At 39.1% G+C, this 27,935-nt stretch overlaps 1 long non-coding RNA gene across 1 annotated transcript, besides 2 other annotated features; it reads right to left on the reverse strand.

The window, feature by feature from the left end:
* LOC107985940 (uncharacterized) lies at positions 1-27,932 on the reverse strand. Its single transcript, XR_001739662.3, has 3 exons — positions 27,752-27,932; positions 2,299-2,517; positions 1-578 (listed from the first exon to the last, which is right to left on the reverse strand). It is a non-coding gene; the product is annotated as an uncharacterized LOC107985940 (long non-coding RNA).
* Positions 27,677-27,726: an enhancer, noted in NCBI's record as "active region_16439". NCBI's record gives its function as "activates an Ori minimal core promoter by ATAC-STARR-seq in GM12878 lymphoblastoid cells {active_cell/tissue: GM12878}" and the evidence as "EXISTENCE:reporter gene assay evidence [ECO:0000049][PMID:35858748]".
* Positions 27,737-27,926: an enhancer, noted in NCBI's record as "active region_16440". NCBI's record gives its function as "activates an Ori minimal core promoter by ATAC-STARR-seq in GM12878 lymphoblastoid cells {active_cell/tissue: GM12878}" and the evidence as "EXISTENCE:reporter gene assay evidence [ECO:0000049][PMID:35858748]".

Consider the following 27,935-nt stretch of genomic DNA (forward strand, 5'->3'; position numbering starts at 1 on the left):
TTTGTGAAGTCAGACTCATTTTACACAGAATGTGACGATTTGCCGTCCATTGAGAGAAAAACTCATGGTTTAAATGAAAGCTAACATTTAGCAAGCATTTATTGTGGCAGGCACTGCATAAGTGCTTTACATAAATGCATCTCACTCAATCTTTCTCAACATCTCTCTGAATGGAACCTGTAAAAATCCCTATTTTACAAAGCCACGAAGTAGAGAGGGTAAGAATTGACCTTGGGTCTGTACGACTCTAGAGTCTGAGGGCTTGACCATCACCATGACACAAAACACATGCTTAGGAGCTACTCTCAGAGCAGAGGTCATCCCTGTCTTTGTATTGACTGGGAGAGGGAAAGCAGGACTAGTGCTGTAGTCTGTTCCAGGTCCATACTGCTGGGTAACACACTGCTATAAAACCTACCACTTTATAGTATCTCACGATTGTGTGGCTCAGAAATTTAGGCAGGGCTCAGCTGGCAATTCCACTTCTAGTAGCTTTGACGTAGGTCACTCACTGGTATTCAGCAGGTGGATGGGCTGGTCTAGAGGCTCCAAGACAGCTTCAGCTGCACGTCTGCTGCCTGGCAGGCACAGCTGAAATGTTGGGTTCATTTGAGACCATGATCACCGTATGGTGGTCTCAGGCTTTTTGAACGTCTCATATGGCTGCTCAGGACCCCAGAGAGAGTATTCCAAGATTCAGAAACGAGAAGCTTGAGTCCTGGGCCCAGAGCTGGCACAGCCTCACTTCTATAGTATTCTCAAGCTTATTGAAAGGAGAGTCACTCCCCGCTGACCCTCCTCCTATGCTTTCCACATGTTCCCCACCCTCAGGCTCCTGCCCCTACCAGCCCTCTGACACTGCCCTACTTGAGGTCACCAAGGATCTCTTCATCACCAAACTCAAATATCATTTTGCTCCTGTCTGTATCTTACACAATTTCTCAGCAACAGCTGACTTTGCCAATCATTTCTTTCTTGCAACTCTGCTTTCTTGGCCGTTCACACTACCTTCTCCTCCTCTGCTTTGTCTTCCCCCAGGGAGATTTGGCAATGTCCAGAGACATTTTTAGTCATCACAACTGGGGTGCTACTGACATCTAGTGGGTAAAGGTCAGTGTTGTTGTTAAATATCCTATAAGGTACAGGATGGCCCCCACAACAAAAAAATTACCCAGTCCTAAATGCCAGTAGTGCTGAGGTTGAGAAATCCTGCTGTGGTTTTTAAAAAGAGGGTACTGGAGACAGGATGAATCTTGGCACAAAGGAAACTCACTAATGGCAGAGTTTCTGGCCTCCTTGGGGAGTTATCTCTGAAAAGGGACTCCTTTCTGGTAAACAACATGGTGTAATGGAAGGGGAAGGGTTTTGTGGTCAATAGATCTAGGTTTAAATCCTAACTTTCCTAAAGTGGAGGTCATAATTTCTATTTTGTGGAGTTGTCTTGATGAACAAATCAGATAACCTATATAAAGTATACAGTCAGTTCATAAATGGTAGCCCTCCCCCTTAAATCACATGATATAGCAGATGTCATGATATAGCAAGAGGTGGCTGGCACATAATAAGAGCTGAATAAATATTTGCAGGATGAAATATGAATAAACTCATTGCCTTACTCCTTTAAGAAGTTGGTTGCCATGAGAGCTCTCTAGCTAGAAATGATTTATTTTTTTCTGTCCTTTTTGGACCTAAGGTTTAGAGATAAGTTTCACAACTCTGCATCATAGTCTGGCCCCATCAGTATAATAGCTAGTGAGGTTTTATGAGGCCAGGCCATTGGCTTGGCATGCAATCCTCCAATTAGAGGGCATGTGACTGCCCATAATATAAAACAGGAAATATGGATAGCTTTATTCTCTTGTGGACACAGTAAAATTGGCAGAGAAGAATAATAAATTCAGAGACCTATGTGGTATCTCTTGTCCTCAGTATTGATACTAATAGTGAAAAGAAAAGTTTGTATATTTGGGCATGGGGAGTGGTCTCTTCCCCTTTATCTTTTTGGTGTCTATGAACAATGCATCAACCTAACTTTCTGCTGAGATTCAAAGACAGAATTACCATGGAGACCACCTCCTTGGGATTTTCTGTAGTACAAAATCATTGACATTAACATCTCCCTATAACTCCTTGTCTTGTTCTGATTCACCTTCCATATTGTAATCAGGGTAAGCTCTTGGAAACACACACTTTATCATGATACAATCCCCTACTCCCTATTAAATACATTTCAAAACATGTCATACAAGCCCCCATGTGGTCAGGCCTTTCCATCCTTTGCTTCAGACTTCAACTTACCTCCCTACATCAAAGCCCCTTCACAGAGCTGTGTCTCTCTCCTTCACGGTCCTTGGCAAAGCTATACAATGGTTCATTTGTTAGTGTCCTTCTTTGATTAGCATCAGTCTCTCTCTCGTAAACTCTTTGCTCCATGACAGCTGGGATTGTGTATCTTTTAGCTTTCATAGTATCCCCAGAGCCTGGCACATCCCCTGAGCCTGGCTCAGTCAAGTCTTCCTAAATAAATGAATATTTAAACAGAATAGATGATATCATTAGTAAACATTACTTTCCTACTTCAGCCTAGGACCTAACCAAAACCCACTTTTTTTTCTTCCAACTTTTATTTTAGGGTTGGGGGCTACCTGGTGCAGGTTTGTTACATGAGTAAATTACATGCCACTGGGGTTTGGTCTACAAATGATTTCATCACCCAGGTAGTGAACATAGTACCTTATAGGTTGTTCTTCCATCCTCACCCTCCTCCCACTCTTCACCCTCAAGTAAACCCCTGTGTCTATTGTAGTTCCCCTCTTTGGGTCCATGTACATTTAATGTTAAAATCTACTTTTGTCTAAATATGTGACTACCACTTCTACACCAAGGAAGCTGTGAGATATCAATAGTACAAGTTTACTGATGATGATTACAATGATGATGATGGTAATATCTATGTAATACTAATATACAATTAAATAATAAAATAATTATATAAAACAGTTAAATCTTCATTAATATTTGTTGAGTGCTTGCTCTATGCCAGATACTATACTAGGCAATGGGGATAAGCTCTTGAGCAAAATCAGACATGGTATTTTTCATGCATTATCTTATTTAATAGGTCTATTAATTAGGCACAATTATTTTCCCATTTTGTAGATGAGAAATTGTGACATTGGAAGCTTAACTAAATTGCTCATGATCATACAGCCCATAAATTGGTGTGATATAGCGGTTATTTGAACCCAGGAGTGACTCCAAAGTTATTAACCATTACATTGTATAATTTTAGAAGAAAAGAGATTAAGTTAGGCCTAAAAGGTAACATCTATTGGCAAGTGCAGCAGATACTAATAGATGCACCAGCATCCTCCATGGACTGGGCATTACTACACACCAGACACTGTTTAACATGTGGAATATATGTTTTCTCTAATCTTCACAGCGATTCTAGTGGTAGGTATTATTATCCTCATTTTACAGGTGAGTCAACAAAGGCTCAAGTAGGAGAAAGAGGCAGGGAACAGGGCAAAGTCAGGTGAGATGCTTGAAAACTTCCCAGCTCTTGAAGTCTTTACGGCATAACTTTTGAATTATATTTTAAAGACAGGAAAACTTTCTGAATTCAGACTCAATAAACCCAGAATTTGTAATATTGAGACACTGAATCATAGACTTTTACAACTGAAAAAGACCTGAGAGATTATCTGGTCTAAGCTCTTCATGGGACTTCGGATTGAGTATAAAATTGGATAAATCTTAGGTAGCTCAAAACTTTTATTTTATTCATATGTTATGATTTGTAGGCCAATCACGACTTGCTATTTTGAACAACCTACTCAATTTGAGTGAATTAGTAGCCATTTCAATCAATTTATAACTACATTTGTATGTAGGAACAGTATAATTCATTATAAATATTTTACATTTGTGATATTAACTAATTCAGATAGGAGTTTACAAACAAGGTTCCTCTTGGTGGAAGAATGAGATATGAATGATATTTTATTATCCAAAGAAGTCTCAGGACCTGAGGCACACATATTCCAGGGTAGAAAAGCACATTCCCCAAGTGAAATAAAAGTCTTCTCTTTCTCTCTCCCTTCCCCCCGTCTCTATTTCTATTTCTTTTATTTCCATGCCACTGCTGCATTGTATTGTCTTGGACAAGTGAGGCTACATTATGTTTTAAAACTTTTGTCCTCTGGTCATCCATAGGACCTAGAATGCTTCCCACTCCCAGGTCATTAAAAAAAAATAACTTGGGTAGAAAAGATTTTGTTATTGGTGAAATTGAAGGCTCACCTGAATTTACTTTAATGGAGAACCCTAACTCCCTAGAGCAAAATGTCTGCAAAGATATCACTGGGAGCTCAGAGGAAAATATTATGTTCTAACCTTTTAAAAATTAATCCAACTATTAAGAGGGATCCCAACTGTATTTCATTCAAGCCATAATCTGAAAGCTATGATGATTAAAGCAAGACAAATGCAGTGTCATAAGCAAATGTCATGCCATAGATTTACCTACCAACAAGACATTGGCATGGTTCAGGTCAGAGGTTAATTAAAGACATCGAAAGGTCATTCTGTGATTAGGTGAAAGCAGGGTTTTAATAGGGCATCAGTCCGACCCACACTGACAGAAGATTTATGCCAGCCGTGATGACATCGCCACGAATCCTGCTGATAACAAGAGCCTCAATATTGGCCTGAACAGAATGATGAATGGAGCACATATCTCCTCACACTTCTCATTACAAGCTCTTTCACTCCTGGTGGCACTTAACAGCATTTATTTACTGAGGTTTGAAGGTGTGGGACAGCAGAACAGGATATCTAATACTTTTAAATGTAGACTTGTGATATAAAAATGAAACAAGAGATAAGATTAGGTCTTTGAATAATTGCACAGCTTTTCTTCCAAGATTATATTCACTAGTACTAACATTATCCCCCCTCCATGTTCTGCCAGTGTGTGAGCAGTTCAAGAAAATTAATTGTCTGAGGCAGAAGGTCAGAGGGAAAAAATTACTGATAAGCATTAACCATGCTATAAAATAGCACCTCACCACATTTTGCCTTCCACAGCCCTCAGCATGTGAAACAAAAGATAATATAAAGAAAAGGATATACATATTTCCCCCTATGCCATATTTAGAGTTGTTAAGTGCTGTTCTTATTTGGATTAGATTAGGTAAAGCATCTAGAAAAAAGCCAAATAAATGAAAAAATAAATAAAAATCAAACAAACAACTTACAATATTCTCAGCTGAAAGCAAATATAAGAGAAACTAAAACCCTGATGAATAACGTTTACTTTTCCACGAAACTCCCTTTCAACATGTTATATATTTATCAAACCACCAGAGTGTAAATTCCATGAATAAGTCCTATCATCTCTCAACCAGTAGACACCATGAAAATTGTAACTACAGAAAATTGTTAGTACTATAAAAGCGTACTTTCTACAGATCTACATATATCTATTTCTGTAATTTCACAATAGAAAATAAAATCATAATCTTTTTGCTTGGGCCACGAACAGGGGCAGGCCAGGATAGGATCCCATCACATCTAACCCCAAGCAATGCTCCCATTTATTCGGAAACAAAGATGAGTCACTCTGACGGAAGTGCTGGAGCTGGTGACCTGCGGCAGGAGAGCTGTGAGAATCTTGTCTTTCCTCTTTTGAGGCAATTGTATTTGTGGATAGAACAAATTTTAGGTGGCTTTACACCAATTAATAATCCAGCCCAGCACATACAACTGCTCGGAGCCATGAAAATGCACATATGCATGTGTCAACCACACACACAACTTTCAGTCCTGCTCCTCGGCACTGAACAAACTAAACAGACATTTTCAGTGGTGGATTTAACCCCACCTTGAGCATATAAAAGCCACTAATAAAGAGGGGGATTTCCTGGTTGACTTTTTGAAAAGAGACTTCTTTCGGCACTTTTAGCTTAGGATTTTCATTTGCCCTGACAAATGTTCATGGGAGAGGTCTAAAGAATAGATAATAAGGCCTTGCAAAGAGCTTCTTGTCCCTTCCAGTCTGATCCATTGGAGGTTTATTTATGTAAGCATCCTCCAGCATTAAGACGACAGGCAGTTGGAGAGCAGTCTTGCCTGGGATGATAGGTCTCAGCCAGGCTACTCATTCCACCAGATGCACGGAGCTGGACCGGGATTCCAAGTGGCCATTAGGAAGATTGGCGTGACGGCCATCAGAAAACTGTATTGATCAATTTTTGCCAGTCCACATTCTGTCTGCTAGTATACATGGAGAGCTTCAGTCTTGTGTGTGGCGAGAGAGGGGATTGTAAATGCTTTGGGGCAGTTGGAATCAGTGTACTGTATAGTTTATGGAAAAAGTACTAAGGTTATATAATTTGTGTAAAAAAAGATAATGTTTCCCCAGCTACCATGGAGAAATACAGTCATGTGTCGCATAACAACATTTTAGTCAGTGATGGGACGTACACACAATGGTGGCCCCGTAATATAATGGAGCTGAAAAATTCCTATGGCTTTGTGGTGTCATAGGCATCTTAATGTTGTGGCACAATGCATTACTCACATGTTTATGTTGATGCTGGTGTAAACAAACCTACTGCACTTCCAATTGTATACAAGTATAGCACACACAATAACATACAGTTATGTTCCGTACATACTTCATAATGATAATAAATGAACATGTTACTGCTTTACTGTATTTTTGTCATTTTACTTGTACTCTTCAACTTATATTTTAAAAAGTTAACTGTAAAACAGCCTCAGATAGGTTATTCCAGAAGAAGGCATTGTTATCCTAGGAGATGACAGCTCCACGCATGTTACTGTCCCTAAAGACCTTCTAGTGGAACAAGATGTGGAGGTGGAAGACAGTGATATTTAGGACCCTGACCTTGTGTAAGCCTAGGTTGGTGTGTGTGTTTGTGTCTTAGATCTTAACAAACAAATTTAAAAAGTTAAAAAATATTTAAGAATAGAAAAAAGCTTATAGAATAAGGATATACAATTTCTTGTACATTTATACTCTTTAAAGCTAAGTGTTATTACAAAAGAGTCAAAAAGCTTAAAAAGAAGTTCAGAAAGTTAAAAAGTTACAGTAAACTAAAGTTAACATACTATCGAAGAATTAAAAAATAAATTTAATGAAGCTTCAGTGTACAGTGTTTATGAAGTCTACAGTATGTACGGTAATGCCATAGGCCTTCTCATTCACTCACCACGCACTCTTACTCACCCATAGCAGCTTCCAGTCCTGCAAACTCCATTCATGGTAAGTGCCCTACAGAGGTGTGCCACTTTAAATCTTTTGCACTGTATTCTTGCTGTACCTTTTCTATGTTTCGATATGCTTAGGTACACAAATAGTTACCATTGTGCTACGATTGCTTACAGTATTCAGTACAGTAACACACTATACAGGTTTACAGCCCCGGAGCAATAGGCTATCCCATACAGCCTAGGTGTGTAGGAGGCTGTGTCATCTAGGTTTGTGTATGTACACTCTATGATGGTCACACAATGATGAAATTGCCTAATGATGTGTTTCTCAGAACATATCCCCATGGTTAAGTGATGTGTGGTTGTAAGTTGCCACCCCTTTGAGGTTTATCTTATTTTCAGAGAAAATTTGAAGCTAACCAACGTAAACAGCTTGTGTACACTTCCCATCTCAAACCACTAGACTGAAGTGGTATGAAAACAACATGACATATTTTACTTTCTCCTTGTTGGCACCAGGAATAAGCATTCTTTTGCAGGGAATTTTGGGTTAATTGTGCTTTAAAAAATCAATTAGCTAGCTTATTGATAACCTATTCTGTGCTAGATACTACAAAGGACTCAAAAAGTACAAATCATAGCCCTGCTCTTAGTGGGCTTGAAACTCATTGAGAAGACCTGTGGAAACACTGAAGTATATGTATCAATAAGAAGCAAGGCTGCATGTGATTATTAGAGAAATGGTATAGACCAGAGTTCAGCAAGTTTTCTTTGTAAATGACCGATAGTAAATATGTTTGCTTGCATGTTGTATGTTCTGTCTTAGCTACTCAATTCTGCCATTGTCACAAGAAAGCTGCCACAGATAGTATGTACATGAACGGGCATGGCTGTGTTATAATAAAATTGTATTTATAAAAATAGGTGGTAGGCTGAATTTGGCCAGAGGACCATACTTCCTGAACTCTGTATCCATGTTAAATACTATGAATATTCAGGAAAATGAGGACGACATGTTACAGTGGGTGGAAAGGGAAGTCTTCATGCAGTAGCAGGGGATTGAAGACTATGTAGGAATTAGCGTAAAGAGGAGACATTGTTGATGGGAGCACAGTGTAAACAAAAGCTACATGTTCTAGGAAGGCTCCATGTAGTGATTAGCTGGAGTAAAAATGGAAAAAGTGGGCCTCTCCGTGAAAGCCACCCAAGAAGGAAGGGCATTCCACTTCTGTTAGACAACTGCCCAGAAATTATGTGTGTAAGTCAGGTCCTCAGCTGTATTTTCCTAAAACCATGGTGCCCTGGTTAGGTCCTTTTGCCTTTCCACCTGGCTGTTTTTCTAGCCTATCTCTTTCTGCAGCATTGGCATTTCCGGCTCCAGAATATAGAGATGCCAGCCCACAGGAGGGATGACTTAAAGTTTTATGAGTATTTGGGAGTGTTTCTTTGTGATGTTTTCTCCATATTGTCAGGAGCTTGGTCACCAATCCAAGTGATCAAGGTAATTCTGAATGTCTGTGTCTCTGATGACAAGAGCTCCCAGTTTAAGCCAAACCCTTAAGTCAAATTGGCAGCATTTCTCAAAGTATATCAATAGAATACTAGTTTGCCCAGATGATCCCAGGAAAGAGGGTTCTTTGGTGCAAACCATGCTTCCTCTTGAAGATTGACAAGGTACACTGCTACATTAAAGGGCATGAGAAATCCTTTTGCAAAGACATCTTTTTAACTTGTACAACTATAACTTTTCCCAACATTTGACCACAGAACCCTCTTCCATGTAGTGTCTATGAACATCTCATAGAACTTAATTTGGAAAACAACAATTCAGGGAAGCAGATGTGGAAATAAATATTGGTAACAGTTACTAGTCATGGCTTCAAGTTAACATGAAACACACATGCACAGAGACACACATGCACAGGGGCACACACAGAGGTGAGAGAATGAGAGGGATTTAAAAACTCCAGTGACTCTTGAGGGATATAAGCAAAGGGTAGAATTGAGCCTTCTTATTTATTGTAGCTACTTTAAAAGTCTATCCACTCCTCATCCCCAATGTGCCAAGCAATTGTGGGTGAACAGGAGTACTAAAATGCTGACATATGATAGCAAAAAATGGAGAGCAGAGTATTTAAACTTATTTTCTTCTTTTTTCCTTCTTGTTGATGTTAAACTTCTGGCTTTGTTTCCTTTTTTCATATCTGTCTGGAGCCTTTGTTTGACTGAAAACATGAAAATGATTGTCATCTTGAGCTATTCTTGGCAGGCAGGACTAAGCTTAGAGGGAAAACAAATGTATGATTAGCAAGTACATCAATATCCCAATCCAGGGCTAACTCCCCTCATCTGTAGAGCGGAGAAAGAGCTGTGCAGAGGAGCAAAGCAACCATGAATTTCATTGAAGCATCTGGAGAACTCACTGGGAGATTCTGTGAAATTTGCTGCAAACAAGTCAGACATTATAATCTAATTAAACATAATCATATGTCGAAGAGGCTCTAGGTAGCATCTCATAGAATTTTCTTTTCCTTCTTCTGTATGCTTTCGGGACATCCTAATTTTTATGCACTGCATTGTTCTCTAGTTCTGTCGACTTGTTCGCCTAGTATTTATTAAGGACCTACTAGATAACAAGCACTGGCAAATTAATGAAGGATACGACATGATCCCTGCCTTGGAGAAGCTGATAATCCAGATGGGGAGAGAGACACAGAAACCAACAAATGTAATCAAGTGTTATAAACGTTACGTGGATATCTGCATAGGGATAGGACAATCCAAAAGAGACAGTTGTCAGTTCTACCTGAAATGACAGGAGAAGTTTCATGCAGGGATAACTGTAGAACAGAATCTGGAAAAATGAGCAAGTGTGAAACAACAAGCAACCTATACCAAACAGATCCTTGCATCCTCCAGAAATATTTTGCTGGTTGGTTCCACGCACATTCGGATGATCAGAACATTCTTGAACCCATTCCATTCCTATAACACCTTGTAATTGAGAATACTGTAGCACCAGGGATCTTTAAAGTGCTTTATGTGAACCCTAGGGTGGGGGGTGTTCAAGAAGATCCACTAGACTGGGGAAAAAATGCCAAAACTTTAAAACTTTTATCTTATCTTTATGAAACATCTATTTTTGAGATTGTTTCATAATGTGCATATAGCAAAATAGTACATGTTTATAACTTATAAATAAATATACCTATTGACGGTGCATAGTGTATTTTTTTTAACTAATGGAGCGCATGATCAAAAAACTTGTAGACCATCAGTATTCATTATTCACCTATGAAGTGATTGCATGCTGAAGTTTTAGGTGGACATGGAGTTTTGAGAACACTCTTCAGCTCAAACCAATTTAAGTATATATGATTATCATTATTATAATTTTAGAGACAGGGTCTTACTCTGTCACTCAAGCTGGAGGAAAGTGGCACAATCATAGTTCACTGTGGCCTCAAACGCTAGGGCTTAAGTGAGCCTCACTCCTCAGCCTCTAAGTAGCTGTGACTACAGGCGCACACCACCATGCCCAGCTAATTTTTAAATTCTTTGTAGAAGTGGGGGTCTCATTATTTTGCCCAGGATTGTCTCGAACTCCTGACCTCAAGTGATCCTCCCACCTTGGCTTCCCAAAGTGCTGGGATTACAAGTGTGAGCCACTGTACCCAGCCCTAAATCTGTATTATTGATATGCAAAATGCTATATTAAGTTGAAAATGCATTAAATAGCAGTATGCCTGGTGTGGTTCCATTTTTGTATTAAAAAGTGTATGTTAATATTTGTGTATACATACATAGAAAAATGTCTGGAAGAGCATACACCAAAATGCTAATGATTATCTCTGTGTGGCAGGATTATGAGTGACTTGTTTTTCTCTCTATTCTTTGCCATACAGTCTGAATGTTTTGCTATAAAGAGAAAATTTAAAAAAAATTCTAATTCCTTTTTTTTTGAAACAACTCCATTTTTGGCTCAACATTTCCCTAACATTTTAATGATGAATTATGAATCCTTATATCATTGTAAGTATCATTAATACTTTTGATGCTTGCAGAAAATCACTTGGGGAAAAAATGGTTAGAAACGATTTTCCTTTATGTTTGTAAGATAGCACTTCATCAGCTATGTCTTTTGTCACTATGTGTATCCCTCTGTCCCCCAATTAACTACAAAAAGTCCCTAAGTCCAATTTTTAACTTCTTGGTTATGGTTGTACATCTTTTTCCTCAAAAGAATCTTTAGATATCAGGCAAAAGATTTTAAAAGCATTTTACAGTGTGAATCAATATCTCTTTAATTTTTCCACATGCAAAAACTTCATCTTCTCACTAATATTGTGACCCAAGGAAAAGATTGTCTTAGATTTCTTTGCCTTCCTACTGTGGCAACCTAGCTCTGAATAGAAATCAGCTAAAAAAAAGTGGTTATCTGAATGACCAATCTCTATATATAAAGATACCTTTTAAAAATAAATGTTTGGGCCAGGTGTGATGGCTCACACCTGTAATCCCAGCACTTTGAGAGGCTGAGGCGGGTAGATCACTGGAGGTCAGGAGTTCATGATCAGCCTGACCAACATGGCGAAACCCTGTCTCTACCAAAAATACAAAAATTAGCCAGGCGTGGTGGCACATGCCTGTAATCTCAGCTACTCGGGAGACTGAGGCAAGAGAAGCACTTGAACCCAGGAGGCGGAGGTTGCAGTGAGCTGAGATCACACCATTGCACAACAGCTTGGGCGACAGAGCGAAACTCCATCTCAAAAAATAAATAATTAAATAAATAATGTTGGGTTTCCATAATTATCTAATGTTTCATGAGAAATGGAAAGGTTTTCCCTAGTATATATGTCTTTTATTTGCCGCAAATCTGTTTTTCTCAACATCTTAGTCGTTGATATGATACAGTCAGCTATTTGGATGGAATTATCTCTCTACTTGCTATTTCTATGTTAGAGTTCCAATCCCTAGGAGTATTTAGACTATTTTTGTCACTACCTTTGCAATTTTAGTTTCATGTTTTGCAACATGAAAAACTTTGGAGACTCTTAAAATTAAGATTAACGCTGAGAATATTAACAGATGTATATACAAAATCTGCTATGAGTCCCCTACCAGGCTGAGAACTCTTCGAAGGCACAAACTGGATTTCTTTCCTTACTATAACCCATATGTAGCACCTTACTGTGTAGATATTTGCCATTTTTTACTCCCCTGCATAGCTGCAGATTTTTTAATAGGCCCTTGAGCCCTCTACACAGTTGACCCTGGAATGACACAGGTTTGAACTATGCCGGTCCACTTATATGCAAATTTTCCTCTCCCTCTGACACTCCTGACACAGTAAGACCAACCCCTTTTCTTTCTCCTCTTCCTCAGCCTCAACAATGTAGGATGAGGAGGATGAAGTCCTTTATAATGATCCACTTCCACTTAATGAATAGTAAATATATTTTCTCTTCTTTGCAATTAATATCATTTTTTTCTCTAGTTTACTTTATTGTAAGAATAAAATATATAATACATATATAAAATATGTGCTAAACAACTGTTTAATGTTATAAGTAAGGCTTCTGGTCAACAGTAAGCTATTGTAATAGTAGTTAAGTTTTGAGAGAATCAAAAGTTATGCATGGATTTTTGACTATGCGGGGAGCTGGTGCCCTTAACCCTGCATTGTGCAATGGTCACCTGCATTTGTTTTTTGTGTGTGGGGAGAGGAAGGCTAATATCTCCTACTGAACCATCTTGGTGATGTCACTGCTCTGTACCTAGCACCATATCTGGCCCACGGCGCTCACTGAATGTACTTGCTAATGTGACTTCTAAGACTCTAGACCTCTCAACAGCCTTATTAGACTGAAATTCTGAATATTCCTTTCCCATCAGGGATGAGCAGTGACAGTACCTGGCTGAGGCCAAGGAGAAAGAGGGCCAGGAATTTCTTCTTACCCTGCTTTTGAGCATGCAAACTCTCCCTTGGGATATAAAGCATGCAAGTGTCTTGTCCCTCAGCTCTGGACACACTTACCTCTAGCCTGTGATTTAGGGATGCAAGAAGATAAGCAGTGGGAAAAGGAATTTCTCTAGTGAGTATGAAAAGAATTAAAGATCAAGAATATATTGCCAGCTCCCTATGTATCCCACCCACCTCAGTCATCAGCCAGACACAGCATGTGAAACAATCCCTCTGCCTCTGCACCTCTAAGCCCTGCCATACATATTCTCTAAAGGGACACCATGTTTGAACACCATGTGTGGCTCCTGGGGTGAGCAAACCCATGACACACATGCTCAGACAATGTCCATGAGCTCCACCAACCTCTAGGAAGAGTGTGGTGATGGACTGTGCTCACATATTATTTGGTGAGTGTGTGGTGAGGGGGTGGTTGGGGATAGCCAGGGCCAAATAGGCTCAGTGTTTCAGGAGAGGCAAGCACAAATACTGGATCCCATTATTTCCTGGAGAGACTGTGAGGACCCCAGAAGAACTTTGGTTTACACAGTGGGGGCAGCTGTTGCCTCAATGCCAATGGTAATTTCTTCAGTGGAGATAGTGAGACAGAGTCCTAATTGTAGAGGGAATTCTCCATCCCTTTCTCAGACTACATAAAAGATACAGTGCCAAAGCCTGCTGGCTGTTATCATTGTGTGACTGCTGGCATGCCTGAACTTGGTATTGTTTTAGCAATTATCTCTCAGAGAAAGGAGGTAACATTTGTTAAGAGAGGAGAACAGATTACCCGGTGGCTTCATTTAGAACAGTCTTCCAGATAATATCAGAAGTAGAGCACGCCTTCTTGCTAGAATATGAAAGAAAAGAAAGCAGCTGAATCAATTGGGAAGCTGAATAACTGAACAACATCCCATATAATTACTGGAGCAGCAAAGAAATGCCTATGTTAGTTATTTGCAACACTTCTTGCTTCAAAAAAAGAGAAGCTTAAAAACATCAATAAAGACAGATGTAAAATCTCTGTTTCAAGACTCCCAGTTGACACTGATAGATTCCTACTGAAAAAAAAGATGTTTCCAAAAAGTAAAATAAAATCTTACTGCAAATATAGTAAAATTGCAAAGGAGGGGAGAAAAGTAGCCTCAGATCTGTGAGAAATGTCAATCTGCAAAGTCCATTATCCAAAGACCTTGTACATCAATACTAGATTTGAATTATGGAGCTGAGTTGCGCCTTCATTTAGACGGTGTTTCCCCAAGTAGCCAGATAATATCAATATCTTGCATTTATATGATGATCATCTTCCCAGATGGCTTCATTAAATTGTATGTTTTATGAGACCCACTTTCTGAAATGTGGTCATCTCTGAATGAGAATGATGCTCCTGGGTAACTTGGGGCAAGGGAAAAATCGTGTTTTGCATTTATGCTGTCTTTCTATCAGTGATCATAAAAATCTTCAGTTAGCAAGCATTTCCTGAGCATCTGCATGGGCAGAGCCCGAGACGAGGCTCTGTGTGGTAACATACAGAAGATTAAAAGGTGTGGTCCCAACCCTCCAATACCTCAGTCTCCATTAAGAACAATTTTTCTGTTTCACAAATGTGAAAACTTGTGGCCAGACAAGTTTAGAGAATTGGAGAAGATGATGTAGTAAATTTGTTCCAGAGATAGGAGCCCTCATTTCTAGGATTGGGTCTACATGGTTTTGAGAATAACATCTAAAAATATTTAAAATATGTCAAACCTGCATTTAAGTGTTAACACTTTGGTTTTTGTTAAGGGAGAAAAGACTAGTTCCCAATTAGGAAAATGAAAAAGGGTCTGTTACGTTGTCAATATGAATTTGTAAATATTTCTAAATATCTAAGTCTTGTGGTAATTGTAGTGGAGGGACAAAAGGAGGGCAGGCTTCCAACTCTGAAGAATTTGGCTGATTTTAGAAGTAAAATCATTGCTGATATGTGGTAATTTCAAAGAAATAAGAAGTCTCCCTTGTGCCTTGAATGAAGATTCACTTTGTTGGCTTATTTCTTCCTACCTTGTAAAATTGCTAGTACTCTAGGAGAAGTCCCACATTCAGCCAACCCAGAAAAATGTCTGGCACACAGCAAACACTCCATGAACAATTATGAGGAATTCACGCTGTGTAGATGAGTTTCTCATAGCCTTTCCTAAGAACCTAGATTTTAATGGGTTTGGAAGTAGGGTGGGGTGGGGAGAGGTCAGAGGTAATAGGTGCCAAGGAAGGAAAGAAGAAATAAACAAGAGTGAAAAGGATAGCCTAGGGGATGGGGAAAACTTGTCTTTTTAATCTTGTTTAGGGACCATGGTGTGCAATGTACTGTATATCTAGAGATACGGAGATATAAGACTAGTATACTTAAAATACCTGCAAGCTCAGAGATTAGAAATCCCAACTCTAATTCTGATCGATTTGGGATTTGGGGCAAGTCACTTCACTATACCTGGGCTACAGATATTCCATCTGTTAAGGATATAGACTAGATAATCTCTAAGATCAATTTCTGTTACATAGGATTCTGTTATTCTAGCTATATGAGAATATCGGAGCATTTGAAACAGGAAGTAGACGAGTTGTTCTGATGCTTACTTATCTAGATGGAGAGAAGAGACAACATTAAAATCCAAAGGCTAATGATCCTTTCTTAATGTAAGTCTAGTCTACCAATCAAAATATATTGGATTCTATACTGTCAACCATAAAAGACCTCAGCCAACTTCGGATGAATTTGGGTAATGGAAGATTCATCTCTGTTCTAAAATTCTATACTTTTTTTCCTTCTTAAATTAGAATTTTTTTAAAGAAATGTCTAACTTGTGGCTCTATCAGTTGGTAATAAAGCTTTTAAATGTTTACTTAAAAATTAAACGTTATCTCCAAAATATTCTACATTTCAAAAACCTTTCCCACGAAATAAAAATGCTAGATTATGTATTAAAATTACAGGTGCTGCAGGAATTCAGAAAGTAGAAAGATCCTTGTGGTCAATAGGTAACCAAGAAAACCTTCAAAGTAAAAATGAGGTTCAAAGTTGGGCCCTGAGGGAATTTAAGACTGGGATTTTTGGAGAAGGGGGCTTTCCAGATTTAAGAGGATCTTCCAAAGAGCAGGGCTTTCCAAATGCACACAGATGAACTATTCTGCTTGAGGATGAAGTTTTCACTGCTCCATGACTACTAACAAAACTAAAGGGCAATGTAGTCAGTATGTCCAATAACTAAATCAAAGCAATTAAAGGACTACCCCTTATTCTGAGACAGTGTCCTTCCTTGTTTTAGTGTTAAAACATCCTTTTATAAATGATAGTGGTAGTAGATAATAGTTGTTTTCTTCTTATTATTTTTTTAGACGGTGTCTCTCTGTCGCCCAGGCTGGAGGACAGTAGAGTGAAAGTGCAACCTCCGCCTCCCGGATTCAAGCAATTCTCCTGCCTCAGCCTCCCAAGTAGCTGGGATTACAGGCGCCTGCCACCATGCCCAGCTAATTTTTGTATTTTTAGTAAAGATGGGGTTTCACCATGTTGGTCAGGATGCTTTGAACTCTGACCTCAAGTGATCTGCCTGCCTCGGCCTCCCGAAGTGCTAGGAGTACAGGCGTGAGCCAGATGTTTTCATTTTGAAGTGATGGCATCAAATTTGTCTTCCATATGATGGTCTCTCTTGTTCTCTCTTTCTCTTCCTTTGAGATTTTGCTGGCCAATGAAATCTAAAGATCTGTGGACTACCAGGTAGGCGAGTATTTCTAAAATGTTTCCTTCATTGTAGCCTTTATCCATGTACACCAAGAAGTCAAGCACAGCTTTCTAGCAAGAGAAAGAACCATTTAATTTTAGAATTTTGTTTTGCTGTTCTTGTGATACTGTCATGGTAGTAAATGCTGGTCAGGCTTAGCTGTGATGTTGATAGAGTCAAGCTTAATATGCCAGACCTAGGATGTGTTTCAGGCCTTTCGGTGATATAGCATCCTAGAAAACAACATCTGCTCCGTTTTCAACTTTTACTTGGTTTCCAACCTACATTCCACGTTGGCAGCAGATCAGCTGCTAAACTGTTTACCAAAGTCCTTGCTTTGTAGAGATTAAATAAACGATTTCATAATTCTCTCTCATTCCATTGATGTAGAGTGACTAGATCATTAGATTTGCAGTATAAGCATGCCAAGTTTCTTTCTCAGAAGCCAATCTTGGGCATTCAAAGTACTGCTTGCCTCCTGGACACAGGGTATTCCCGCCCCTCTAAGCCACCAGGTATATACTCGTTTCCCTCTGGAGGAAACTATGAGGACACAGTGTTTTAGAACAAAACGTTATGGTCTTCCATTTCCACAGTTGCCCTTCTATCTCCTGGTCTCTTACTAAGGAGTACAGGGGAACTTTTCATTATGGTAATAGGGCTTGTGCTCTGAGAAGAGATAATGAGCTTTCTATATTTTTAATTGGCAAATTGTATATGCGTTTTTATTAGCTCACTATGATCGCTGAGCTGATATGGGGAAAAAAATGGAAACACAAACTCTGATTACATTTATTTCAACCGAGAGATGAAGGAAACAAAGGTCCAGATTGGGTACTAACTGGCTCAAGGTCACCTAGCTAGTTAGCTGAAGTACAAGGACTTGAAGTTGATCTAATGTTCTCTCTCCTACCTCCCTCCAATACCCCATCGGAATTGAAATCATTGCAATAGCCACTGCCAAGTACTTAACAATGGATATTTGATCGTGGTCCTTTAGGTCTGTACCAGGGTGGTTTTCAGTTTTTTACTTCATCAGCACAGGAAGGCAAGGACATCGCACTGACTCTCATATTTCATCCTTAGCTCTCGATTCCCTTGGTTTTACATTTCTGACTCTTCCTTCAGTTTCTTGTAGGGCTTTATGATTTAATTTAATTTCAGCTTATGGCTGGCTTTGGTACCCAGAAGAGTGGTAATTTGTCCTTTAAATTATTCACCCAGGGGAGTCGGTGTTCTTAGAAAACGAGGCGGGGAGAACCTATAAGCTTCATCCCAGCAGAGGGACATATGACACACACTGATGCCTCACTCACTTGTTCTTCTCCCACAATACCTTATCTCCCATGTTCAGCCTTGGTTCCTATAATACCTTGTATTTCTGCAGAGCTTTTCACATTAACAAATAAAGCAATTTACAGCATATTTATACACTGACTAGTGACTAATTATACACCTGCAAGCACTGCAATCATTCCAGACAAGCAACATTCCTCTACATTAGCTTCCCTGTAGGAAGGTGTCTTAGAGCTATTTGCAGAGAGAATTTGGGGCAACAGTCAGTCTCGGCTCTGACACTCAATTGTTGAATGTGGGGGCAGTTATATAATCTAGGATGCACCTCTAGACATTTTAGCTCGGAGCTGAGCTAGGGGCTAGAAAGATTACGAAAGAAAAGAAAGAGTGGATGAATCTGACCCTAGTAGAACTCACTAAAATTGTTGATAAAACCAGGCAAGGCCAGGCACAGTGGCTCACGCATTTAATCCCAGCACTTTGGGAGGCCGAGGCGGGCAGATAATGAGGTCAGGAGATCGAGACCATCCTAGCCAACATGGTGAAATCCCATCTCTACTAATAATACAAAAATTAGCTAGGAGTGGTATCATGTGCCTGTAGTTCTAGCTACTTGGGAGGCCGAGGCAGGAGAATTGCTTGAACCAGGGAGTCAGAGGTTGCAGTGAGCCAAGATTGCACCACTGCACTCCAGCCTGGTGACAGAGCGAGACTCCGTCTAAAACACAAACAAAAAACCAAAAACCAGGCAGAAACATATGCAACAACTCACAAAGAAAACGACATTACAAAATCACCTGCCAGGGTGTTTGGTATGTTTTAGGTGGAACTGAAGCACGGAATGGAGGAGACTATTGCAGTTGTCAATTAAAAAGATAAGAGATGAATATTGGTAAGAGCTACCATTTAATGAGTGCCTACTATGTATTTATATTTCCTCAATACCACTGTCATTTAATCCCCTCATAATCTCCAATTATCACATAAAATTAATTGAAGTTCAAAGATGTAAAATAATGTTCTCAAGATTAAACAGATATTAAGGGAGAGCAGGAATTAAAACCCAGGTCTGTCTGACTCTTAACCACTCCATTATACCCTCTTCAGCCTAAGAAAGGGATGGCAAGCATTAACAAGATGCGAATATCTAGTGTGTAAAAGTGGATTGTACAGAGAGAATAAGAAAAGGATTAGTAGAATCCATTTAAAGGGGTGCTAAGAAAAGAAATTAAATATTTTCAAAGTTTAAGTTTTGGCAATACAGTGGGGTGGAAGCAATGGAGGAGCTCCTAAGAAACTAATATGGGCTCAGAGGATGTTCTCTGATGAATTTAAACAGAAAATAGACAAGTAATCACATTTAAAGATAAAGTAGCAATATAAGCCTGTAAGAATATTAGATGCTAATGTCCAGAATGTAAGTGAGCTATATGAAGAATGCTAAGTTAGTAAAAGGAAGCCTACACTTCTACGGAGAAGGGAGAACAAGTAACAAATATCTTTACTGCATGGAGCCTAGGCTCTGTTTGTTGGGCTCTGCTAATCCTAGTGTGGAGGCTTTAAAACTTGTCCGCAAATGTTCTCACTCTCCTCTCACTGAAAGGTGGAGTCCAGATCTCCTCTTTTCTCCTCTCTGGGATAATCTCAGTGACTGGTTGGCCAACACAGTATGGCAGAAGTGCCCATGTGTAACTTAAGAGGTGATACAGCTGCTACCTGGTTTGATACAAAGCAATGAATAACTGAAACACCTGGTGAGAATGTCAGAGCAGAGAAAAGCACACATTTGCTGATGTGAGGCATTTACTCCTGGGAGACCGAAGAACAAATTCAAAGTGTGATAAGTATCAGGTCTAAGGAGTGAAGTAAGGATGAAAGATGAAAGTAAGTATTAAGGTCAGGCTGGAAACAGGTTAGGCTGTGGAGTGCAAGCATTCATGACTGCACACTACAAACAATACCAGTGTAATTGGGTCAGGACTGATGTGATGAGCCATACAGGGCGCATTTTTATGTGTGACACAGAAATATTCCCAAGGTCAAAGGAGCCTGGTAGTCCTAGACACTCACAATGTTAACAGATAACAGGAGGAAAGGAGAACTCCCTAACCGCTTTAATTCCTATTTTCTCTCCAGATGAACAATTGTCACATAGAGAAGGGCAACATTAACACTGGTTTTTAAAAAATAAGGTAGGTGAGGAATCTATAAGTAAGCACTGGCTACTGAAGCTGTGTGTAAGTCTCACAACCTAGATGAGTTACGTTTCTCAGACACTAAAAGAACTTTAGGATAAAACAGAACTCCTGTCAATCATCATGAAGAATCTTGAGAATTAGGGAATCCTGAAAATGGGTAAATGTCTTCTTCTAAAAACAGAGGTGAATCCTGTGAATGCTAGGTAGGTGGGCATCAGATCTGGGTTATCTTTCAGAACAAATCCTCAAAGAGATGATTTATAAGCCTCAGCAAAGGAGTCAGCATGAGTTAATGAAGATGAAGTGGTTAACCTGAATTTCTATATGAATTTACCAATCTCTAATGACATGATTCTGAATACGAGCTGGGCACATAGTGAGAATGGCTGTAGGCAAATAATGATTTCTGATGAATGGATTTATGTTAACCAAAAGGCACACCTCCAGAGTCCACCACAGGCCCCTGTCCTTAGTGTTGCATTATCGAAAATGTTTATTACAAATAAGGTTCTGATGGCAGGATGGCGTGCTGACGCAGGTTGCAATGCGCACTATTATACTGAATGCTGGAATCTGTACCAAAAGTATCTTGATAGGTAGTAACTATGGACATGTTTTAAAAAGGAGAAATTCAACAGGGAAGCCCTTTTGTTTAGGACCTAGCCTTCACTCCCAATAGAAAAAAAAATCCAAATGCCCCCAAAGTTTTACCCCAACAATAAAAGAACAGGATAGAAAGAATATGGTTTGTGCGCATGGAAAGGATTTAAGAGTTGTCTAAATTTAACAGCTCTATACAACTTAATAGTGGGATGTGGCCGACAAAAATGCTACTGTGATGGGATGTTATGTTAAAAGAAGTATATAGAACAAAAGATGTGATGGTGCAGCTCTGGTGTTTGTTCTGAAAGTGGTCCTGTGAAGGGATAGTGACAGACTGAAGCATATCCAGAAGAAAGCAACTACTATGGTTAAGGGATGGAGAACAAGTCATATGGAAAATGACTAAAGAAATTGGGTATATTTAGACATGACAAGGATCTTCGGGGAGCATGGAGCAGGAAGCAGATTTAACAATTTAAAGGCTGGCACACAGAATTGAGTGGCAATGTGTGGGAGCCATAAAGAAGCTGGAGAGACTTGAACCCTAGGAAAAACTCTCTTGTACCTGGACCTATGCAAAGATAAAAGCAGTTTCCTCAAGAGGTGAGGAATTCCCAAACTGAAGGCATTCAACAGACATAGGAAGGTCATTTGTCAAAGATAATATTAAAGCGAATAAGAATAAATCTGCAAAACTATGACCTTTTACCACTACTTTATCACACTTACTCCTTACAACAGGAGGCACTTGTATGATGAAGAAATTGAAGAACAGAGAAATAACTTGTCCAAGAATATGCAGCTGGTAGTGGAGAGCACAGCCTGCAAGGCAGATATGCCTTATTCTAAACAGTGCACATGCCCCAGGCTTCCTCAAATAAAACTGAGCTCTTATTTCCAGGAGAGGACACTGGATCAATCTCCAAAAGGAGAAATGGGATCCACTGAAGCTAGAGTAGCTAATACATCCTCTGAGAATATTAAACATCACCAGGAGTCTTCAGGCCATTGATGAGCTACACATACTGTTTCTCAGTTTGGAATGGCTTTTCTGATGATGGTTCTATTACAGCTCAATACCAAAATTAATTTTATAAATCTAAGATCTGCTTCTTAAAGTTCTTTCAGTTTTCTCCAATCATTACCAAAGTATTAATTCCTAGCCTTTAAAAAAAGTAATGCTTCTCAAATTCCAAGAGTATTAAATTTAAAATCATTTCACATAATTTCTTTACTTTGATGGGAAATTCTTTTGATGGTTTTTGGTTTTGGCAAGTCTCAATCCCAGAACAAATCTAAATTCAAGTCCTTGAGTTTCTATAGTGTGTTTTATGTCTGTTACATGAGCTAGCTTTATACATATTTCTTTTGGGTAAGTTTAATTATTGGATCATCGTGTCCTTCATCTGCTATCAAATGAAACCCTCTGCTTTTGTGAACCAATGCATATAAATGTATACATACATATAATTAGCAAGTCAGAGGAAATTCTCTGCTACTTCCATCAGTGTCTTATAAAAATAATATACACTCTTAGACAACCATGAGTCTAGCTTAAGTTCAGTTAGAGATAAGAATACATACATTGTCTTCGGGAGGGACCTAACATTATATAAACCCCATTATGTGTGAGTTCAGTTTGAATGGCGTGTCCCAGAGATGAAACAACAGTACGGTGAATTAGCAGGACAAAAATCTTTTAGAGAACACCTTGTTATGTTTTCTGACCTCAAATTGTATGGGCCCTTGTAATAATTAATAGCTAGTGTCGCTTTTATATTCTGGGTCTCTATCATTGCCTCTGTGACAAAGAGTTTATAGTCTGTAATCTTTCCAGTTGTCTTCTCACTCTGATGTTTTACACCTCAGTAGCTTTGTCTTAGAGGTGTATTTTGCATTTGCTTGCTCATCCATAGTGACCTCGCTTGGGCTTTGTTTAGTTTATTTGTTGCCTGATGATACATACCAAGCCTTACAGCGACCATTTGACTTTATATACATTCAATTTATTGACTTTAGGTGTCATTGCTTCTGTACAGACCCATCCAAAAATGCCCCCAAAGTGCTATGCCACTAAAAGATAAATGTCCTCATTCTCCTTTTTTGGAGCTGTTGATGTGCAAACCTCCCCCTGCCCCCTACCATCCACCTCAATATTGATGACATTATACATCCATTTCAAGATGTCCTTTACATTACTATACTTTTAAGCTTACTTACGTTATGCTTTTCTTCACAGTGAGTTTGCAAATATTTTGCTTTTATGATGTATATGAGCTTAAGCCTAAGAATTCTCTCTCTAGTTTTATGTTTAGAACATTGTAACTTTTTTAGGTTTAAGTAATATTATGATCAAAATAATTTAAGTCAGTATGAGGGGTACATAAAAATTATTTGTGTGAAAACATTGTTCTAGGATATTCCTATTACATTTCTGAATGCATCATATAGCATTATTCTTAAATATTTAGCCAATATTTAAAATTGGTTTGCATTCTCTGGCTATGTCTCATCTATTACATTTGCTATGTGGCCAAGGAAAGCCTGGAAAGTATTAAAAACTCATCATGGATAATCATGAATTGATTGTGTTTAATACCACTGTAGATAAAAAATAGCTTTATTGACATATTCAAGTATGGCAATGTCAGGGTTTTTCTTTTCTTTCTCGTATCTCTATTGTCTTTTAAAAAATTCCAAACACAGCATACGCTTTATGCAAGGCATGTTTTCAACTACCTCCTATTAAGTCAATAATTCCAGATCTTCATTTCTAGACCAATTTGGGGATTCAAACTCCAGATGCACATTTCCACTGCTCTACTGGACATTTTTACCCGAATGTTCAACAAGTATTTCAAACTCACTCAACCTGAAATTCAATTCTTGTACTCTTGTTCTAGATCAATGATGTTACTTTCACTCAGTCTCTCAGGCTCAAAACTTTGAAATCAACTTCCACCTTCTTTTCTTCACTCCTAACATTAGCAGTTATCAAGTCCTGATGATTCTTTGTATCCTCTGCCATTGCCTTTGTTAAGTTTGCACCACCTCTCAGCAGACAATCGCACTAGCTGCCCACGTAGATTCCCTGTCATCAGTTGCCTACATCAATCTAGCTTAAAATAGGAAAAATATATCTGATCTCATTGAGAGTTCTCAGTTGACTTGCTTCTGTAGAGGTGGGCTGACCTAACTTCTGCATTTCCAGGCTGTGAATTTATTGATGGCAAGAGATCTGTCTTATTCATTGTTGTGTCTCAGTGTTTAACAGAGTTCCCACATGTAACTGCTGCTTACTACGTGCTTGTGAATGTTGACAGGGCACTAGTGAGTGACTAAGAGCATAGGGTTTAGAATCCAATAGATCTAGGTTCAATTTCTGCCTTCTCTGCCACTTAGCTATGAAGTGACCTTGGACTGATTAACACTAAGTCAGTGATTCTCAACGCTCAGGTGGGGCTCGGGCACTAGAACTTTTAATAAATCTATGGGTGATCCTAATATGCAGCCAAAGTTAAGAATCACTGCTTTTAGCCTTAATTTCTCATCTGCTATTTGGTATCTATTTCAAATGGGTTTTGAGCATGTGAAATGAGATTTAACTTAGCACAGTGCCTGGCACACAGAAAGTGATTACCATCAATCATGATGTTAAAATACAACTTCAATTTGCAATTTTCTTTTCAATTGCTACCCCCAGCTCTGCCTTTCTTTCAATTCCCAGAATGCACCAAGTTTTTCAGCTTTTGTGCCCTCACACCTGTTCTTCATCCTGCTCTTAGCAGATCCCTCTCAATCTTCAGCTCACGCATGGTCTCCAGGTATTCCCCTTTATTCTCCATCACAATATGGAGATGTTCCATCTTCATGGCACTTGTCTCAGTTTGTAATTACATATGAATTCCACCATTTACTGTGTTTCCCCCACAGGACTCTAGCTTCACAAAGGAATGTGGCTTGTCTGTATTGATTTCCTCCTAAAGTCCAGTGCCAAGTGTCTGGTACCTGCCAGGTGCTCAGGTGATAGCTGGCTTAGTAAATAATCCATTCTGATCTCTCAAAAAAGCAAAATTCCTTGACTTTCTATGTCCCTCAAACATATTTCACATCAAAACACCGTAACAAAAACCAAAACCAAAAAAGTAGAATGGTCTGTAGTGTGTGGGGTTCTAGCTACTGAATAGGAAAATTGCAATAGTAAAAAAATTATCTTGGATGTTTTTAATTTGGGTAATGTTTCCAAGTCCAAGGTTCTTAGAGGCTTACTGAATGGCTTAGTCATCAACCTGTAGGCAATAATTAATGTGACTCCTACAATATCTCACTCCAACAAAGTCAATAAACTTTTGTGGGTGTTTGTATTAGCTAAGTAAAGGGCTTTTTGTTTTCTAACTTATCTTTGATCTTCTTGGTTGGGAGACCAAACAACATATAAAGCTAATGGAAAAAACCTTTCTTGAGGTCAAGAATTATCAAATTGTTGATACTTCTACCTATAAAAAAGACCTCAGAAATCATCTAAACCAATCTCTCATTTTACAGATGAAAAGAAGAAAGCCTAAAAAAATGAATTTATTGCAAGTGATTACACGCATACTGTCTTAGTGCTAAAATACAATCCAGGTTTCAAGGATCATTCACCAGCGTTCCATTGACCACATTACACCAACTTCAAAATAACTCAGTTGTTATGATTTCTTGATGTTCTTAACCAATTTATATTCTGGCATCAATTAATTTAGGATTTCCATGTTTCCATAACAAAAATTTAGTCCAAATTCATGAGCCTGATGTTTAGAACTCACATGTCTCACCATACCTCTTTGTACATGCCAGACTCTGCAATCTGTTTCATGTTTTTCCAACTCTGAGCTTCCACCAGAATGCACAGGCTAACCATATCTGCATATTTACCCTCAACGCCCACTGAAAGACCACATCTTCCATGAAAACTTTCCTCAAATCTGGTCAAAGAAGACAATGGCCTTTTGTATTTCTCCTAGGGATTTTATATTCCTCCTTGTACTGCAGTAGGAGTAACTGCATTAGATATAGGAACCTTGGAACTGGTGCTATATGGTTTTTGCTTTTTAGGTTCTGTCACTACTTGCAATTAATACATATTTAAACGAAAATAAATGCCCCTCTAGGTTACAATGTTCCATAAGGATTTTCTTGAAGGCAATTTCTAAGTGTCTGAAAAAAGCTCGGTTGGAGTAGACATGAACTGGACATACAGGACTTGTATTGCTTTAAGGAAATACATGATGTCAGAACATTTTCAAATTATTGTCTCTTTTCTGAATGCTTTCTCTATTCTTTTAAAAATCATCGTCCATTCTGTATAATTGGCCCAGATCTTTCTTACTGGTAGTGTAAAAACTTACAGGAGTGAAATTTGAAAGCTACAGAAAACATTAGAGAAAACACTAAGATATAGGAAATGTTAGAGAAGCATCATGCAAATACTTGCCTAGAAACATTTTGTTGGAATTCAGATTCTTTTTCAATTTTCAGAAGTAAATGTAGATAAAAAGGTCAAAAAACAAAAATCCATCTTATCGTTTATCAGTTCAAAGTAAATGAAAGGAGTTTACCATCTGACAGTCCTTTGGAAAACTATTATGCAATTACTCTCGGCCCAGATTTCATCTAGAACATTCAAGTCCATTGTAATCTTACCACATCCATACACGTTTTGGGTTAAGCCACCTCCAAATGGAATAGCTCAATAACTAATACACTCAAGAGAGATTATTTTTTCTCTCTTTTTAAAAAGAGTTGCTTAAAAAAAACAAATTCAGGGGGCAGCTCACGCCTGTAATCCCAGCACTTTGGGAGGATGAGGCGGGCGAATCACGAGGTCAGGAGTTTGAGACCAGCCTGGCCAATATGATGAAACTCCATCTCTACTAAAAATACAAAAAGTAGGCAGACATGGTGGCATGTACCTGTAGTCCCAGCTACTGGGGAGGCTGAGGCAGAAGAATCACTTGAACCCGGGAGGCAGAGGTTGCAGTGAGCCGAGATCATGCCAGTGCACTCCAGCCTGGGTGACAGAGAGAGACTCCGTCTCAAATAAATAAATAAATAAAAATAAATAAAAATTCAGAATAGGGAAGCAACTCCTCCTTATGACGAGTACCTTTCGGCACTTATATGGGCTTGCTTTTGCATTGATGGCACCACTTTCATTCAAAAAAAAAAGTTCGCTTGCACAATCTGCAAAGATCTGTTTGGCTTGGTTTCATGTTCTAAAAGTATGGTTTTAGATTAAATGAAAAATAATACTTCTGAAAAATAAGCGGTTATAAGGTTTTTAAGTTTTCTTTATGTTGGTGTAAACTTATAAAGCCCTTCCTATGAAAACTGTCCCCCAAATCACATTACTTGGTCGTCCTCGAGGAACGATTTTGAATGAAAAGCACATAAAGTGCTGTAGCATGGAGACGAGAGACAAATAACTATGCCCTTCTCCCAAAATAAGTTATGACTTACTAGGGGAGGAAAAGGAGCAAAGAGTATAAAGCCCGGTCCTCTGCGGGAAGTACCCGGAGGCCTGCCCCGGAACGCGCTCCTTTCGGCTACGAGATGAGGGGCACGCAGACGGACGCGCCCCTCGGTGAGTGTGCGTGTATCAGTGCATGATTCCTTTACTCCGCCCACAGGGTCTGGGCATCCGTCATTACCTACGGCTGCCTGGTCAGCAAACAACAGCAGATCCGACAACCGCCAGTCACCTCGACGGTCCACGCCCACCGCTAGCCTCCAGTTTCCCGCAGACCGGAAGCCCTTTTGCCCCGGCTCGCAGGTCCACGTCTTATTGACAGCAGGAACCGGAAGCTCTTCTGCCCCGATCGCCTGCGCGCGGCC

The sequence above is a fragment of the Homo sapiens genome, chromosome 2 (genome assembly GCF_000001405.40).
Source record: "Homo sapiens chromosome 2, GRCh38.p14 Primary Assembly".
Taxonomy (NCBI): domain Eukaryota; kingdom Metazoa; phylum Chordata; class Mammalia; order Primates; family Hominidae; genus Homo; species Homo sapiens.